The following is an 18390-nucleotide window of genomic DNA, read 5'->3' on the forward strand; positions in this document are numbered from 1 at the left end:
GTGAGTGAATGCTGGTGGAATAAATGCTGAAGTGGCCTGGGGTTAGTGGCTGTGGCTTAGTGTCTGGGTATAGGATTCTGGGGCCCACTGACAATCATCTTTGTTTACACTGTGGTCAGAAAGCTGGTCAGCTTGGACTTGAGCACAGTGGAAGGGGCTAGGCTGGGAGAACATCATAGGATGTGCTCTCCCAGAGAGTGGCCTAAATGACTTCAGACTGCTCCACATGTCTCCCAATGAGAGCATATGGCAAAGGAGGGTTGCTCCCTCCACAGTATTTTTACTCCTTTGGTGCTCTTTTCAAAAAAGGAAGTTCCATGAGAACAAAAGGGCTGGCAAAGTTCCTATTGGGGGATGAGGAAGCCATGCCACATTTTTACAAATGCAACATAATGCCAAGCTCAAAGACAAAATACTGTAAAGTACAATCTCTGCTTGCATAAATTTATTCTCTTGACTGGGAGACAAGACTAATAGGTGAGAAACAAATATGGCAGCATTTTTCTAACAAAGATTCCCTGAGAACAGAGGAGCAGATGCTGGCAATTGCACACAGAGCTGCCTTGTGCAGCTGTGGACAGGGACAGGTGTGTGGGCAGGGAACTGCCAGTGTCTGCTACAGCCATCTCACCTGTCAGGTATCCAGGTAAGCAAGAAGCTTACAGAAATAACTGATAAGTTATTTCTGAAGTCTGGATAGTATTGGAGTTGAAATGCAGAATTTCTCTGCAGTCTTATGTTTTAATTTTTAAATCAAATTTTGGATGTAATCTGCATTATGAAATTTTAAAAAATTACTTACCAGTGAATTCAACTTAGAATTTTTTCCCACAATTTCAAGACAAACTGATACTCCACGGCAAAATGAGCCTGGCCAATCCTGAGGCTCTGGGTCCCCCTTGGTACTGTGAACCCCAGGGCTGTAACTCTAATGGGTAAATGTGGAATTTTGATATCACAAAAAATATCACCTTGTGTCAAAATGCATCATACAGACAATATCTACAAGGGCTGCTCAGGAAAGGCCAAAATGTTTGGAAAGACTACATGGAGCCAGCTGTAAAAAGCATGATTCAAACTGGTGCCAAACATCTAAGCTAGCTAAGCTGTAGGATACAATTTTTGCTTTATTTATAATTTTTTTTTTTCAATTAGGAAACTGAGACTTAAGAATTTTCTCTAAAAAAAATAAAAACTGGAAAACAAGTAATTTTAGAAACAAATATATATTTTTGATAGAAACTGTAAGTAAATATTCAGTACTACCAGAAATATACTATCTTCAACTCTCGGCTTTTTTCCAAAAGATACAGAATCATTTTTTGGAAAAGATACAAGATGTACAGACAAATCACATTCATACCTTACAATTTAAATTCATAATGAACAATGAATATTTTCATATTTTCCAGAAGTTTGAAATTTCAAAGTTGTTAGCAAAATTATTCATTTCCATAATTTTTACGAGTAAAAATAGAAAGAGCTGATCATGTACCTTAATATTGTCACTTTATATATTACTCAAAAGTACAAATAACCCTAAAAGTAGAATCCCAGGCTTATCATATTATAAAAATACTGAGACATTTATCAAACATAACTAATATAAATGAAACTACATTTTTAAAAATGTTTCACAAACACCAGTCCATCTTTCTCTTTGGTTCAGAAAATAAAAGAGGTAGGTTCAAATAAAGAAAATGCCTATTACATCATTAGATTTTCATTAAAATGCTGGAAATTTATAACAGAAATTATTAGAAGTGAAATGAGTTTAAGAACTAAATTAAAAACTGATAATAACTTCAACTAGTAAATATTTTTCTAAGTTCTAATCACACAAATAAGAAAAGATAGTTGACTATAAAAATGGCTTTAGTAAAATAAAAAAATGCTCTCATTATTATAAATTAAGTCTCCTATATCCTAACATGTTCCTAAAACTTGGGGCAAGAGAGAATATGAATGTATATGTTTACAAATTGGGCCTTTCATTTAAATATAGGTATCTAATGTATAAGAGTAATACATACTACTATTAATATGTATCTCTCACCTTTGTGCTGCCCATATTGAAAACAGCAAGTTCAAAGATATTCAACAGTGAGGGAGAAATAAGCACATCATTTGCTCATGATCAATCCACTTCATGCAATTAAAAAAGAAATTTCAGGTTACTAAGAATGGTCCCAAGAAGTCTTCCTGACTAAAACGGAATCTGATTCAAAAGGTAGGAAACAAAGGACAAAGGAAAACAAAGATGCTCTGCAGAAGCTGATACAAGTCAAAGGATTTCGTTTCCTGCTGCTTTTCAAAGCAATGGCAGGATAAACGGAATCTTTCAAATAAATTGCCTTGTGTTGGTAATTTAACAGTAATATACTGAAAATTAGTGTATAACTCCAGGAACCAAATAATGGTACAGTGGTAAAATGGAAAAGTGCCCACTGAAATAAATATAATTTCATCACTTCCCTTCAGAAATTCCACCACTGTGTTCATTCGTATTCAGCTGAAAGAAAAATAAGGACATAAACCCTATACTTATTTGGATGCTTTTGCTGTAAGGTATATTTTAAATGTAATGATTTTCTATTAATGGTTCTATAAGGAAATTTAAAGAAATCTATAAAGACATTCAAAATATATAAAACAAGAAATTTAAATATAAAGGAACTGGCATAAACGTAAACCACCCGAAATAAAGATTAATGATTTATAACTCTAACACACAAAACAAATTTTGTTCAAGCCAGTACATTTTCAGATTTCGGATTCAGGGCAGAGATTTGCAGGATTATTAAGAAAAGATAAAGTATAATTGTGTGGCCTTTTCAAAACACATTAAAACTATGATTTTGAACATTTCTGTGTACATATAATTTAGCCCAAAAGTTTGAAGTGACCATTGTTACCATCTTCCCTTTTGTGAAAAAAATGCAGCTTCTTTTGCCATAGACTTGTTTCAATTCGAGGAGAAAAAGTCACTCCAGAGATTGTTGAAAGTTTCAATTATCAGGCTAAAGCAAAAAATGCAACATCATTTCTGGGTTACTCCTAAAGTTTGCTTCATATTTTCATAAACCACATAACTGATGCCTACAGCAGGGAGCACCTTCATGAAGTTTGGGGTGATGCCTCTGTAAAGTCCTGGTATTCCTTCTTTGGAAATAATTCGTCGAAAGAGGCCAACCATATTCAGCTGTGGGGAACCTTCTAACATGGCTAAAAAATAAAAAAAGAGGGTAATTTAATATTCAAGTATGTTTCATTATTATGACAACAAACAATTATGACCCAGAATGATATTCTAAAATACAGTAAAAGGACAACATTTATTCCAAGAAGCCCAAGACAACATCCCTTTTATGATCCTCTTTGTATAGCACCTAACAGTGAGTGTCCTAACTATAGTAATGATGGTAATAATAGTTATTTATTAATTACTATGTTCTAAATACTGGGTTAATTACCTTCCATACCAATCTTGCAAGGTAAATGTTATATCAATTTTGTAAGTGAGCAATTGGAGGCTTAGAAAGATGGAGAAATTTGTCCTAAAAAAATCTAAGTAGAAAATGGTAGGGCTGAGATCCAATGGTCTGACTCTAAAGCTGGTACACTTTCCACCACCCCACAGTGCTGCTGCTGCCTCCTTCTTACTAGACAAGCGCTGAAGAGAGAACAGTTAAATCTCAGGAAGTAAGGGGAGTATGGAAGAAGCTCTGGGAAGCTTGGGAAAAAGCACAAAGACCTGGGCCTTGGAAATGACCTCAACAAGCAGGAAGAGAAAGCGAAAACCAGTGTTGCTGGCACAACCAAGACAACGGGAGGAGTACCATGTGCTATGGAGATGCAGCCAATTGTTGTATGTGGTTATTACACAGAGAGTGAACAAAGTGGGGCTAGATTATTAAAGGCTTTGAAATTCCCACTAACAACTTTGGAACTGACACCGAAAGGCTGCAAAGATGTCTGAACAGATGTAAAATGATCAGACTTTTAGGTCAGAAATGACAGTCTATCAGCCATAGACAATCTATCAGCCGTATCAGTCATGCAAAGTTCTGGATCAGAGCTGGCAGACAGGAGGGTTAGAATCAGACTGCATGTGTCTGAATTTCAGTCCCACTATTTACCACAGGTATAATCTTGTGGGAGTTACTTAAATTCTCTCTGCCCCAGTTGCTCATCTGAAAAATGGGGATAATGTTAGTATTCCCATCCCCAAGATGGTTATGATGGTGAAATGAGAGAATACACAAGAAACGTGTAGTTCACTACTTTGTGTTTTTCTCTACAGCCATGACTGTCTCTCAGCTCCTTAAATACACCATGTTGGTGCCTGCCTCAGTGTCTTCACACATGCTTTCCCTCAACTGGAATGTTTTCTGTTCCCACTCCACTGGCCTGTGCCCAGCTAACTCCCACTCATCTTTCCAGTCTCAGCTTCACTGACAGCATTCTGCAGCGCCCAAGTTAGGTTATAGCTCCTTGCTCTGTGCTCCCCTAACAAAAGAGGAGTTGGTTTAACCAGGTTGTTTACTTGCTGGACATAACGTCTTCTCTACTCTACACTGGCGGGGCCACACCTGACTTGTTGACTGCTCTACCCCTAGCATCTGGCAGTGTCTAGAATGGGACAATGGCTCAGGGAGTATTTGCCAATTAGTTACTGACTGCTTGGCTGGGGTTGCTGTGGCTGGCACTTGGAAGGGAGGTTGGGAATAGAGCTGTAGATGCCCAAGGTGTACTACTTAAGAAAACAATGGATAAGACTGACCAGGGAAAGCATCAAAGAGAAAAGAAAGGCATTTGAATGCATACTTTAATAGAGTGGGGATAGCAATAAAAGCCAGCAAATGGTAAAAGTTATCAATGGGCTGGCAGAACAACCAGGATGGTACAGTGTAATCAAAGCCAACAATGGAGACTGTCACAGTGAGGAGGAATCACAGCTCAAAACTTGTAGGGTCTACGCAACACTAAAAAATGATTCCAACCACCATTTACCAAAAATTTAACAAACCCAAGATGCTTTATTTATATTGTTGGTAATTCTTACAACACTGTACAATTTTCATTCCCATTAAAAACCCCAAGAAGTCTGAGGCAAGGATCTGAACCCAAATCCATCAGATACTAAAGCTTATAATCTTAAAACGTGCATGTAACACAGTCAAAAAAAATAGTACTCTGTTTATCTATAAGGCATATGTATGCATACAGTACATATGCAATGCTTCTGTCGCATTAAAATTTCATGACGAGGGAGCATTTAGAAAAAGAATTTCTGAAAAGATTCCTTAAGGAGGCAATAATGAAAAAAAGGTTGAGAAATACTGTCTTAAAACTACAGTCTGCATCTTAGTAGAACTTGGAGTTCTAAAAGCACATTACTGGTGCAGCACTTTTATCGGTGTGGTTCTGTAATCAAAAATTCACCTTGAGCCTGCATGCGAGTTCTCACCAAAGCCAATGGGTAGCTGGCCAGCTGACCACAGGTGCTGGATAAGGCACCGCATCCCAGCAACACCATGACTCCAGGGTTTACAGAATCTTTTGCAAAATTATCCAGCCAATAGGACTTCAAGAGCTGCCAGAGAAATAAAGAAGAAAATAATTAACGAACTCTACAACTTCAACGTAAACATTTTCACAGCTATTCTCAACCTCATGAGAAGCCCCGTTTCTGCAGGATGAGGCCACGCATTTGCAGAAGCAGCAGGCACTGCAGGAGGCGGTGACTCTGTGGAGAGGTGGGAGGCCACTGGGGGTGCGGAACACATGAGGTTTGCACCGGTTACTGACATTCTTCTAAACAAACGTGAACTGCGCAGCAAACGCTGCAGGATCTAAAGAACACCTCTTATGGTGAGTATTAATAAAATAATATAATTCTACTAATTGTATCTCATTTTACACGTTACATATATTTCATTTGAGCCTTACAGAAACTCTTACATAAATCTATTATTCTGATTTTAGAAATGAGAAAAATTCATCTCAGCGGAGTTTTTGTTTGTTTTTTTGAGATGGAGTCTCGCTCTTGTCACCCAGGCTGTAGTGCAGTGGCCCAATCTCTGCCTCCCAGGTTCAAACGATTCTTCTGCCTCAGCCTCCTGAGTAGCTTGGATTACAGGCACCCACCACCACGCCCAGCTAATCTTTGTACTGTTAGTAGAGACAGGGTTTCACCATGCTGGCAAGGCTGATCTCAAACTCCTGACCTCAGGTGATCCGCCCGCCTCGGCCTCCCAAAGTGCTGAGATTATAGGCATGAGCCACCACACCAGGCCCAGAGTTTTTTTAAGAAGGACTCAGAACCAGGCGTGCTGATCAAAAGGCCATACTTTATCCCTGTTACTCTAGGTCCCTGTATTTCATTAGAAGGCAATAATTAGGAGAAACTGTATAAAATATATATGATAATCAACTTTTTAAACATAAGATACTTTAAGTATAAAATACATGTTAATATGTTATATAACAAGTTTAACTTTTTAATTTTTTAATCCTGTAAGACTAAAAATTTTAAATCCTACAGGATTAAAAAATTATCTCAATGGATTAAAAAATCCATTGAGTGCATTTCTCAATGGAAATCTTGCAGGTTAGAAGGAAATGGAATGTTATATTCTATGTTTTGAAACTTAAAAAAACTGCCAAACAAAAATACTGTATGGGCAAAACTGCCCTTCAAAAAAGGAGAAATTAAGACTGTCCCTGACAAACAAAAGCTGATACAGCTTATCACCACTAGACCGGCCCTACAAGAAAGGCTAAAAGGAGAAACAAAAGGATGATAAATAGCAACACAAAACCACAAAATATGAAACTCTATGGTAAAGGTCAATATTTAGAATATTATAAAATCCTATAGTATTGTAATGAAGGTATATAAATAACTTGAAAATCTAAATTTCAAAAACAAAATTTAAACAGAATTTAAAGAAGAAAAGCATAAAAAGTAACTATAAATCTATGTTAAGGATATACAATATCAAAAGACATAAAGTTTGTGGGGAGGAGGTGAAATATGTAAAGAAATAGAGTTTTATATACCACTGAAGTTAAGTTGTAAACAGCTTAAAATAAGTTGCTATAACTTTAGTATGCTTTATGTAGTTGCAATGGTAACCACAAAAATAGCATCTATAGAATGCACACAAAGGGAAATGAGAAGGGAATCAGAACATATCACTACAAAAAAAAAAAAAAATCAACAAAACACAGAAGAAGCCAGGAAGAGAGGAAGGGAAAAACAGAAAAGCCACAGGACAAAGATAAAAAGGTAGCTAGCCAAATGACAACAGTAAGTCCTTCCCTATCAGTAACTGCTTTAAATGTAAATGGATTAAATCCCCTAATTAAAAGATATAAATTGCTGAGTGAATAACACATACAGAATCAACTATACCTTATCTATGAGACTCACTTTAGATCTAAGGACACACATAAGCTGAAAGTGAAAGGATGGAAAAAGATATTCCATAAAAACGGGAACCCAAAGAGAAAAGGGGTGGCCATAATTACATCAGACAAAATAGACTTTAAGACACAAACTGTCACAAGAGACAAAGATGGACATTACATAATGATAAATGGGTCACTTTACCAGGAAGAAATTATAACTTCATATGGACCTAATATTAAGCTCCTAAATATATGAAGCAAACACTTACAGAACTGAAGGGAGGAATAAACAGCAACACAGCAATAGTAGTAGACCACCACCCCACTTAATGGTGTTGGGGAGGACATGGAGAAATTGGAATCTTGGTGTACATTGATAGAAATGTTAAAAAACAAAAAGGTCTAGTTACTATGGAAAATGACATGGAGGTTCCTCAAAAACTTAAAAATAGAATTACCATTTGACCCAGAAATTCCACTTCTGAGTATATGTCAAAAAGAACTGAAAACAGTATCTTGAAGAGATATTTGCACAACCATGTTCACTGCAGCACTATTCACAATAGTCAAGATGTAGAAACAATCCAAATGTCCATCAACAGATGAATAAAGAAAATGTGATATATATACCCAACAAATTATTATTCAGCCTTAAAAACAAAAAAGTCCTGTTGTATGCTATCATATGGATGAATCATGAGGAAACTATGTTACATGAAATAAGCCAGTCACGGAAAGAGAAATACCACATGATTTCACTTATACAAGGTATTTAATGTAGTCAAACTCATAAAACGAGAAAGTAGGTTACACAGCGCTGGGGTGAAGGGGAAATTGGGAGCTGTTGTTTAATGACTATAGAGTTTAAGTTTTGAGAAGTGAAAAAGTTCTAGAGATCTGTTGCACAACAAACCACAAACAGTTAACACTTACTGTACTATATATTTAAAAATGGTTAAAATCATAAACTTTATGTTATGTGTTTTTAATCACAATTTTTTAAAAAACTCAGCACAAGAAGTAAAGTCCTGAACCATACCACCTCACACCTAAGAGGACGGCCATAATAAAAATAAGCTTTTTTAAAATGGAAATTAAGTGTTAATAAGGACGTGGAAAAACTGGAACCTTTGTATGTTGCTGGTGAGAATGTAAGTGCAGCCACTATGGAAAACAGTCTGATAGTTCCTAAAAGCTAAACACAGAATGACCATATGGCTCAGCAATTCCATTCTGAGATATATACCCAAAGGAATTGAAGGCATAGACTCGAACAGATACGCAGATGCCAATGTTCACTGCAGCATTATTCACAATGTTGGAAAAGTAGAAATAATCCAAATGCTCTTCAACAGATGAAGGACTAAACAAAATGTGGTATATACACATAACGGAATATTACTCAGCCATGAAAAGAAATGAAGTTCTGATACATGCTACAACATGAACAAACCTTAGAGACATTATGCTAAGAGTAATAAATCAGACACAAAAAGAAAAATACTGTATGATTCTACTTATAAGATATCTTGAATGGGTAAATTCCTAGACATAGAAAGCAGATTAGAGGTTACCAAAGGTTTGAGTTACGGAGGGTAGGAAGTTATTGCTTAAAGGTTAAGGTGTTTCTGTTTGGAGTGAGGAAAAGGATTTGGAAATAGTGTTGATGGTTGCACAATATTGTGAATGTAATTAATGCCACTGAATTGTACACTTAAAATTAGTAAAATGGCAAATTTTATATTTTATAATAATTTTTAAAAATTATGTAAGAAGCCAAAAACCATTTGCTTGTACACTTCAAATGAGTGAAATGTAAGGAATATGAACTAAATCTCAATAAAGCTCTTTAAAAAAAAAATTCGACTCTTCTTTTCATTACACATTCCACTCTTCCTCTACGCTGTAGCTTAGGTCTCATCCTAACATGCACCCTGGCTCATGTCTGTCGCAGCACAGATAACCACGCTGAGTTTTAGTCGTTTGTCTCCCCCACCAGACCTTCAGTTTCTTCAAGGCACACATTGAGTCCTTTGAATCCCCAGATCCAGTGTCTAACCTAGTGGTTTGTATAGTGTGTGCTCAATAATTGTTTGTGAGATTCATAAATTATTAAATGATTTAGATTGCAGGGTTGATCCAAGATTTGTATTCTTCCGTACAAGGAATGAAACTGTATTACTCATGTTAGTCACATTAGTCACTTGGCTTAATGTCAGATTTTTGCAAATCCAAAACAAAGGAAAAAATCTCTAGAAACACCTTTTAAGGTGAACAACTATACCTAACTTTGAGTCTACTCTTCATTAACAAAAGCAATTCCCAAGAAAATCTAATACAAAAGTGACCCCATGCATATTCACACTCAAGTTACTTGAAAGTTCAAATAACACATGCTTGAATTTACTTCTGGTCACACACTGTTTTCTGGTATATATCTACTTCTTCATATAAAGTCCAATTCTAACAAGATCTAACTGCATTTTCCAATTCAAAAGATTTCTACAAACTCACCTCATACACAGCAAGATCTATGCCTGCATAAGGTATGATACCTAATAAATTGGGAACATAGCCTTTGTAAAAAGCTCCCAAGCCTTCATGTTTCAAAATCTTCTTGGCACAATCATATATTCCAGAGTACTGCCCAGTTTTGCCTACAGCCAGCCTGGTTTTCATAACCTGGATATAAAAAAAAACAAAATATGATTGTTCATATTAACTCTATCATCATGGGATTCAAATGAAGTAATTTTACATGGAACAAATACCTAGCACATATTGTCACTCAAAAGACTGTACAATTTGTTGATACATTCTCTTTCATGTATTACCTCTATTGGGGGGCTAAGACCAAAGCCAGAGAGACCCGTTTACTGCAAGGAGGATCTGATGAAGGAAGTGACCAAGGAAATGGAAGCAAGATAATCTATTGATGTCTTAACAAAACTGACTGGTGACCACCTGCATCTGGAAGGTGAGGGAAATGGTAGTATAAAGGATAACCCCAATACTTCTAGCTTGGAACACAGGATGGGGCAGTGGGGAGTTGGGAAGGTGATACTATTAACTGATATGGAGGATATGAGAGGAAAAATAGGTATTAAGTTTTTTTGAGAGGTGTGTGGAGTAATATAAACAATCATATTAAGATGCTTAAAAAAAGCTGTATTAGCATGCATACCACATATCGGTGAAAATTGTATTTATCTTGCTTAAGTCATCAGTTACTAAAAACCCCTCTGCTATATCAATAAATTCCACATCTACAATATTATTTTTGCTATAAAGCAGTAGTTGGAAAACTTTTCCTGTAAAGACTAAATAGTAAAATATCTGTCGTTGCAAGCCTAAAATATTAGGTCTCGGTTGTATATTACTTTTCTTTTCTTTTGTTTTTGCCTACTTTTTAAAAATTGTACTTTAAGTTCTGGGATACATGTGCAGAACGTGCAGGTTTGTTACATAGGTATACACGTGCCATGGTGGTTTGCTGCACCCATCAACCTGTCACCTACATTAGGTATTTCTTCTAATGCTATTCCTCCCCTAGCCCCTCATCCCCAAAAAGGCCCCAGTGTGTGATGTTCCCCTCCCTGTGTCCATGTATTCTCATTGTTCAACTCCAACTTATGAGTGAGAACATGTGGTGTTTGGTTTTCTGTTCCTGTGTTAGGTTGCTGAGAATGATGGCTTCCAGCTTCATCCATGTCCCTACAAAGGACATGAACTCATCCTTGTTTATGGCTGCATAGTATTCCATGGTGTATATGTGCCATATTTTGTTTATCTAGTCTATCACTGATGGGCATTTGGGTTGGTTCCAAGTCTTTGCTATTGTGAACAGTGCTGCAATAAATATACGTGTGCATGTGTCTTTATAGTAGAAAAATCTATAATCCTTTGAGTATATAACCAGTAATGGGATTGCTGGGTCAAACGGTATTTCTGGTTCTAGATCCTTGAGGAATTGCCACACTGTCTTCCACAATGCTTGAACTAATTTACACTCCCACCAACAGTGTAAAAGCATTCCTATTTCTCCACATATTTGCCAGCATCTGTTGTTTCCTGACTTTTTAACTAACTGGCGTGAGATGGTATGCCATTGTGGTTTTGATTTGCATTTCTCTAACAACCAGGGATGATGAGCCTTTTCTCACGTTTGTTGGCTGCATAAATGTCTTCTTATGAGAAGTGTCTGTTCATATCCGTCACCCACTTTTTGGTGGGTTTTTTTTTCTTGTAAATTTGCTTAAGTTCCTTATAGATTCTGGATATTAGCCCTTTGTCAGATGGATAGATTGCAAAATTTTTCTCCCATTCTGTAGGTTGCCGGTTCACTCTGATGATAGTTTCTTTTGCTGTGCAGAAGATCTTTAGTTTAATTAGATCCCATTTGTCAATTTTGGCTTTTGTTGCCATTGCTTTTGTGATTCAGTCATGAAGTCTTTGTCCATGCCTGTGTCCTGAATGGTATTGCCTCGGTTTTTTTCTAGGGATTTTATAGTTTAAGTCTATGTTTAAGACTTTAATCTATCTTGAGTTAATTTTTTTTTTATAAGGTGTAAGGAAGGGGTCCAGTTTCAGTTTTCTGCATATGGCTAGCCAGTTTTCCCAACACCATACATTAAATAAGGAATCCTTTCCCCATTGCTTGTTTTTGTCAAAGATCAGATGGTTGTAGACGTGTGGTGTTATTTCTGAGGCCTCTGTTCTGTTCCATTGGTCTATATATCTGTTTGGTACCAGTACCATGCTGTTTTGGTTACTGTAGCCTTGTAGTATGTTTGAAGTCAGGTAGCGTGATGCCTCCAGCTTCGTTCATTTTGCTTAGGATTGTCTTGGCTATACAGGCTCTTTTTTAGTTTCATATGAAATTTAAGGTAGTTTTTTCTATTTCTGTGAAGAAATTCAATGTTAGCTTGATGGGGATATCATTGAATCTATAAATTACTTTGGGCAGTATGGCCACTGATTCTTCCTATGATATGATATTGATTCTTCCTATCCATGAGCATGAAATGTTTTTCCATTTGTTTGTGTCCTCTCTTATTTCCTTGAGGAGTGGTTTGTAGTTCTCCTTGAACAGGTCCTTCACATCCCTTGTAAGTTGTATTCCGAGGTATTTTATTCTCTTTGTAGCAATTGTGGATGGGAGTTCACTCGTGATTTGGCTCTCTGTTTGTGTATTATTGGTTAATAGGAATGCTAGTGATTTTTGCACATTGATTTTGTACCCTGAGACTTTGCTTTAAGTTGCTTATCAGCTTAAGGAGATTTGGGGCTGAGACAAGGAGGTTTTCTAAATATACAATCATGTCAACTGCAAACAGAGACAATTTGACTTCCTCTTTTCCTATCTGAATACGCTTTATTTCTTTCTCCTGCCTGATTGCCTTGGCCAGAACTTCCAATACTACGTTGAATAGGAGTGCTGACAGAGGACATCCTTGTCTTGTGCCGGTTTTCAAAGGGAATGCTTCCAGCTTTTGCCCATTCAGTATGATATTGGCTGTGGGTTTGTCATAAACAGCTCTTATTATTTTGTTATACATTCCATCAATAACTAGTTTAGTGAGAGTTTTTAACATGAAGTGGTGTTGAATTTTATCGAAGGCCTTTTCTGCATCTATTGAGATAATCATGCGGTTTTTGTCACTGGTTCTGTTTATTGATGAATTCCGTTATATTGATTTGCATATGTTGAACAGCCTTGCATCCCAGGGATGAAGCCAACTTGATCATGGTGGATAAACTTTTGGATGTCCTGCTGCATTCAGTTTGCCAGTATTTTATTGAGGATTTTCACATTGATGTTCATCAGGGATATTGGCCTGAAATTTTCTATTTTGGTTGTGTCTCTGCCAGGTTTTAGTATCAGAATGATGCTGCCCTCATAAAATGAGTTAGGGAGGAATCTCTCTTTTTCTATTGTTTGAATAATTTCAGAAGGAATGGCATCAGCTCCTCTTTGTACCTCTGGTAGAATTCGGCTATGAATCTGTCTGGTCCTGGGTTTTTTTTGGTTGGTAGGCTATTAATTACTGCCTCAATTTCAGAACATGTTATTGGTCTATACAGGGATTCAGCTTCTTCCTGATTTAGTCTTGGGAGCGTGTATGTGTCCAGGAATTTATCCATTTCTTCTAGATTTTCTAGTTTATTTGCATAGAGGTGTTTATAGTATTCCCTGATGGTAGTTTGCATTTCTGTGGGATTGGTGGTGATATCCCCTTTATCATTTTTTATTGTGTCTATTTGATTCTCCTCTGTTTTCTTCTTTATTATTCTGGCTAGTTGTCTATTTTGTTAAACTTTTCATAAAAACAGCTCCTGGATTCAATGATTTTTGGAAGGGTTTTTCGTGTCTCTATCTCCTTCAGTTCTGCTCTGACCTTAGCTACTTCTTGTCTTCCGCTATCTTTTGAATTTGTTTGCTCTTGCTTCTCTAGTTCTTTTAATTGTGATCTTAGGGTGTCGATTTTAGATCTTTCTCACTTTTTCCTGTGTTGCCCACTTTTTAAAAATGTAAAAGGCATTCTTAGGTCAAGGGCTGTATGAAACAGTCCGTAGGTCTGTGTTTTGCCAACCTATGCACTAATGAAAGGATGTCTAATTAGGATAATCACCATATAATCAAATCCTGAGATTCCATTATTAAATTTATGGTACAGAAACTCTTTGGACAGGAATGGCAGCCAGCCTCTAAAGTGGCAGCCAGCCTCTAAAGTGACCCCCAGTGATATTTGTCTCCGGTTATTAACACCATTATACCAGCCCCTCCTACACTCTACCAGGGTTGGTCTGTGTGATCAATGGAATACAGCAGAAGAGGCAAAAGATACCAGCTTTCATCTTAGGCACTCTCTCTCTCTCTCTCTGTTGGACCACTGACTCTAGGGAAGCCAGCTACTGTGTTTTGAGGATACTCAGGCAGCCTACAGAAAGGCTCACGTGATAAGGAACTGATGTTTCCAGCCAATAGCCAGTGAGGCCTGGCAGCAACATGAGTGAGCTTGGAATCCGCCTCCAGCTGATTCCAAGCTCTGACTACCATCTTGACTGTGGGCTGTGAAAAACCCTGAGCCAGAGGCACCCAGCTAAGCTGCTTCCAGATTCCTGACCCAGAGAAACTGTGCGATGATAAATGCTTGTTTTAAACTGTTAATTTTGGGATAACTTGTTAGAGAGCAATAGACAACCAACACGAACACCATCACACAGTCAGACTTGACAATGGTACTCACCTCCATTGGATATATAAAAGTCTGTGCAGTTGCTCCAGCCATGGAACCAGAAATAAATCTCTCAAATGTTCCTATTTTTTGTCCTTCTTCAGTAAGTAACTTCTTGTACTGTATAAACAAGTTTTAAAATGCACATTACTACCTGCTGTGGACTGAGCTGCACCCCCACCAAATTCATATGTTGAAGCTGTAACCTCCCATGTGATGGTATTAGGAGATGAGGCTTCTGGAGGTAATTAGGGTTATGAGGTCATGAGGATGGAGCCCTCATGACAGGATCAGTGTTCTTGTAAGAGCAGACACCAGAGAGCCCACTCTCTCTCTCCCCCTTCACATGTGCACCAAGAAAAGACCATGTGAGCACATACCAGCTGTCTACAAGCTGAGAAGAGAACGCTCACTAGAAATCAAACTGGCTTGGCCCTTGATCTTAGGCTTTCCCGCCTCTGAAACTGTTAGAAATAAATTTCCGTTGTTGATTCCACACACACTGTGGTATTTTATGGCAGCCCAAGCCAACTAGACAATCCTAGAATACAAATCAGCTCCTAGAAATCAATAAATTGACAAATGTGATGATGTGTCTCGAAATGTATACACTACATTAATAATACATAGCAGAAGAGCAAGGCCTAAATGCTAATACACGCAGTGACTGGACAGTGGTTTTCAAGTCAGATTTCCACAAAACACAGATGTCTCCCAGATTGGACCAAGTTGCTCCTTTGCTGAAACAGCATAACAGCATCCCTCCCCAGGTGTACAGAAAATACAAGGTTAATCAAGTTTTCACAATGTTTGGATATTTTCCCCACAGTTTTTAAAAGATGAGTTTATTTTCACCAGTGCAAATAAAATGAATAAATAGGTGACAAACAAATATTAACAAAACAATTTATAAAAACAGTTTCTGTAGGTAATACATAGAATTATACTAACCTATCAAGCCCAGCATCTCCCTGGCTATCAGTACTAAAGTGACCCAACATAGCTAACTGGACCAAGGGTATAAATATGACCCCAATACAGCCAAAATAGTGACTGGCCAGTATATTAATATCATGGGATTGAGAGTCAGGCAGACCTGAGCTGGAACTCCAGAGCCACGTGGCCTCGAGCAAGTTCATGAACAGGTCCACATTGTGGTTTCCTTGTCTGTGATAACAGTACTTACCTCACAGGGTTATGGAAAGGATTACAAAAAAATAATACTTGTAACACGGTTAGTGCAGGTCTGAACACCTAGCAAATGTTCAGTAGATGTTATTATTATTATTAATATATGAATACACTATCTTTACACAACTTGCTAAGACATTCTGCCCAAACATAGACCATGGGAATTAGCCAGGCAAGCCAGATTCCTTCTCTCAGAAATGTGAGGGGGTCTCCAGAGGTAAGCAGCTGCTGTCACCAGAGGGACAAGGGGAAAGTCAACAGAGAGAAGTGGACTCATGCATGGAGAAGGGAAGGGGGAAGTCTCACCTCCTGGACTTCTCCAGGGATCCTTCCCCTACATGATCCATCCCCACAGTGATGCCCATTCCTGTGCCAGCCAGTTTCTGTTCCCTGGGATCTAAAGTGCCCAATGCAACAACATACGATGACTTTCTCCTAGCAAATCTGTGTTTTGCTGCTCATGATAAAAATTAAGTATATTATCATTTCATGAGATTCCCAAATACCAGACATTCCTCCCCAGAGAGATCACTGCTTCCAAGGGCTCTGTTTCCTGAACTACAGAGTGTTACATAAAACTCCTCTTCTGCATAGGCCCTATTAATTTTCCTGCATGTCAGATTGTCAAAATCATTAAACATAATTTGCTTAAAAACCTTCCTGCACTTTAACAGTAACTTTGAAGGTACCTTTTATACCTTGGACCCCCACAGCACCTATCAAAAGTACAGAGTAAACGTTTAGTGACTGATGGAGGATAAATATTTAAAGGATAAGTGCTTGAGGCTCCTATTCCCCGAAACATACCATATACAAAGGGAAGACTTCAGGACAGAGCCAAAAAGTCAGGCACTGTGCCTGGTATGTAAAACTATGTCACCAAGCTTAGTCCCCATCTTAGAGATGAGGTAATAGTCACAGAGACTTTAAGTAACTTGCCAAGGCTACAGAACTGAACCTTCCTAAAGGAGACTTAACTGAGCCCTCAAAACCACCCTGAAATCCTTTTGTCTATCTCAGTTCTCTCCCATTTGTTAGACTAACCATTTTGATCTTCTCCATTCTCCTCCAGCTTCCAATACCACTTCCTCCCTCATTCTCAGATCACATCCTTTCTCAGGAGCTCAAGGAAGAGTAGAGAGGCCACCAGGCAGAATATCTTGGTATTCTGCCCACCTCCTGCAAAATTATCCATAGCTACTCACATATTTTTTCTTCCCAAACACGTATAAGAAGAGTTCTTCTTGTAATCAAAGACTAATCCTTTTAACAGTCTCTGGATAGAACCTGTCTCCCCCAGCCCCTTTCCATCTCCCACTCCCTTTCCCTACACACAAACTCCCTTGAAACACCTACCGGGTTAATCAACCTCTCTTACCTATGTTTTCAACTTCTTTATTTGTATTGACATGCTTCCTTCAGCAACAGGCACATTAAAGTCAAATCAAAATCCTCCCTCCAGGCCAGGCACGGTGGCTCACTCCTGCAATCCCAGCATTTCGGGAGGCTGAGGCAGGAGGACCACTTGAGGTCAGGAGTTTGAAACCAGCCTGGCCAATACGGTGAAACCTCACCTCTACTAAAAATACAAAAATTAGCTGGGTGTTGTGGTGCACTCCTGTAATCCTAACTACTCAGGAGGTTGAGGCAGAAGAATCACTTGAACCTAGGAGGCAGAGGTTGCAGTGAGATGAGATTGCACCACTTTACTCCAGCCTGGGTGATAAAGTGAGACTCCATCTCAAAAACAAACAAACATACAAACAGAAAAAAAACAAAAAAACAAAAAAACAAATCCCCTCCACCCAACATCTTTCTTATCTATCACCCTCTCCCTCTTCTAGTTTCCTTCTCTTCACTGTCAAACTCCCTAAAAATGTGTCTCTACTGTCCAAGTTTCTTCACCTCCCATTCACTTTAAGCTCATTTCAGCATGGTTTCTCATTTCATTACTTCACAGAAGCATTTATACTAAGCTTACCTATCTCTGGGTTGAGAAATCCTAAAAGATATTCTTATTATATTCACTACCCAGTAGTACTGACCCCCATGAAACCGTTTCCTTCCACTGACTCCTATGCCATCCCTCTCTCTGGATTTTCTCCCATCCCTCGAGCTATTTCTTCTCAGTGTCCTTTGCAAGTTTCTTCTTTTACTTCTCCCTTTGGACTTATTCCTAGAATTCTTCTCATTTATAAGCTCTTCTTGAGTGATCCTGCCCATTCCAATGGCTCAACTCAGCAACAACCTCTCTATCAAAGATCTCTCTCTTAATGGCTAGCTGATATACCCAATTGCTTACTGGACAGCTCCCTGTACATGTCCCACACATCTCAAACTCAGCATGCACAAAATGGAACCTGATATTGTATTCTCTTTGAATGCAGTCACTCAAGTTAGAAATTAGAATATCATTCTTGACTCTTCTCTTTCTCACCTCCATATCCAGTCAGTCAGTGAGTTCTGTTGATTCTACTTCCAAAATATTTCTCAGTTCATTCCCTTCTCCATTCCTTAAAGACATCACCTTATACTGGTGTTCATC

General features: G+C 38.0%; 1 protein-coding gene across 2 annotated transcripts in view; it reads right to left on the minus strand.

Annotated features, from left to right (window-relative positions):
* The window catches only part of SLC25A24 (solute carrier family 25 member 24), a 66301-nt gene continuing 48341 nt past the window's right edge, over positions 431-18390 (minus strand). For both annotated transcript variants that reach the window (NM_013386.5, NM_213651.3), the window contains exons 7-10: positions 14667-14774; positions 9931-10098; positions 5446-5596; positions 431-3225 (exon numbers count right to left, since the gene is read on the minus strand). In NM_013386.5, the coding sequence (NP_037518.3) occupies positions 3041-3225; positions 5446-5596; positions 9931-10098; positions 14667-14774 (612 nt within the window). In that variant the 3' untranslated portion in view covers positions 431-3040. The remainder of the gene's footprint in view (positions 3226-5445; positions 5597-9930; positions 10099-14666; positions 14775-18390) is intronic.

Source organism: Homo sapiens, chromosome 1 (genome assembly GCF_000001405.40).
Source record: "Homo sapiens chromosome 1, GRCh38.p14 Primary Assembly".
NCBI lineage: Eukaryota > Metazoa > Chordata > Mammalia > Primates > Hominidae > Homo > Homo sapiens.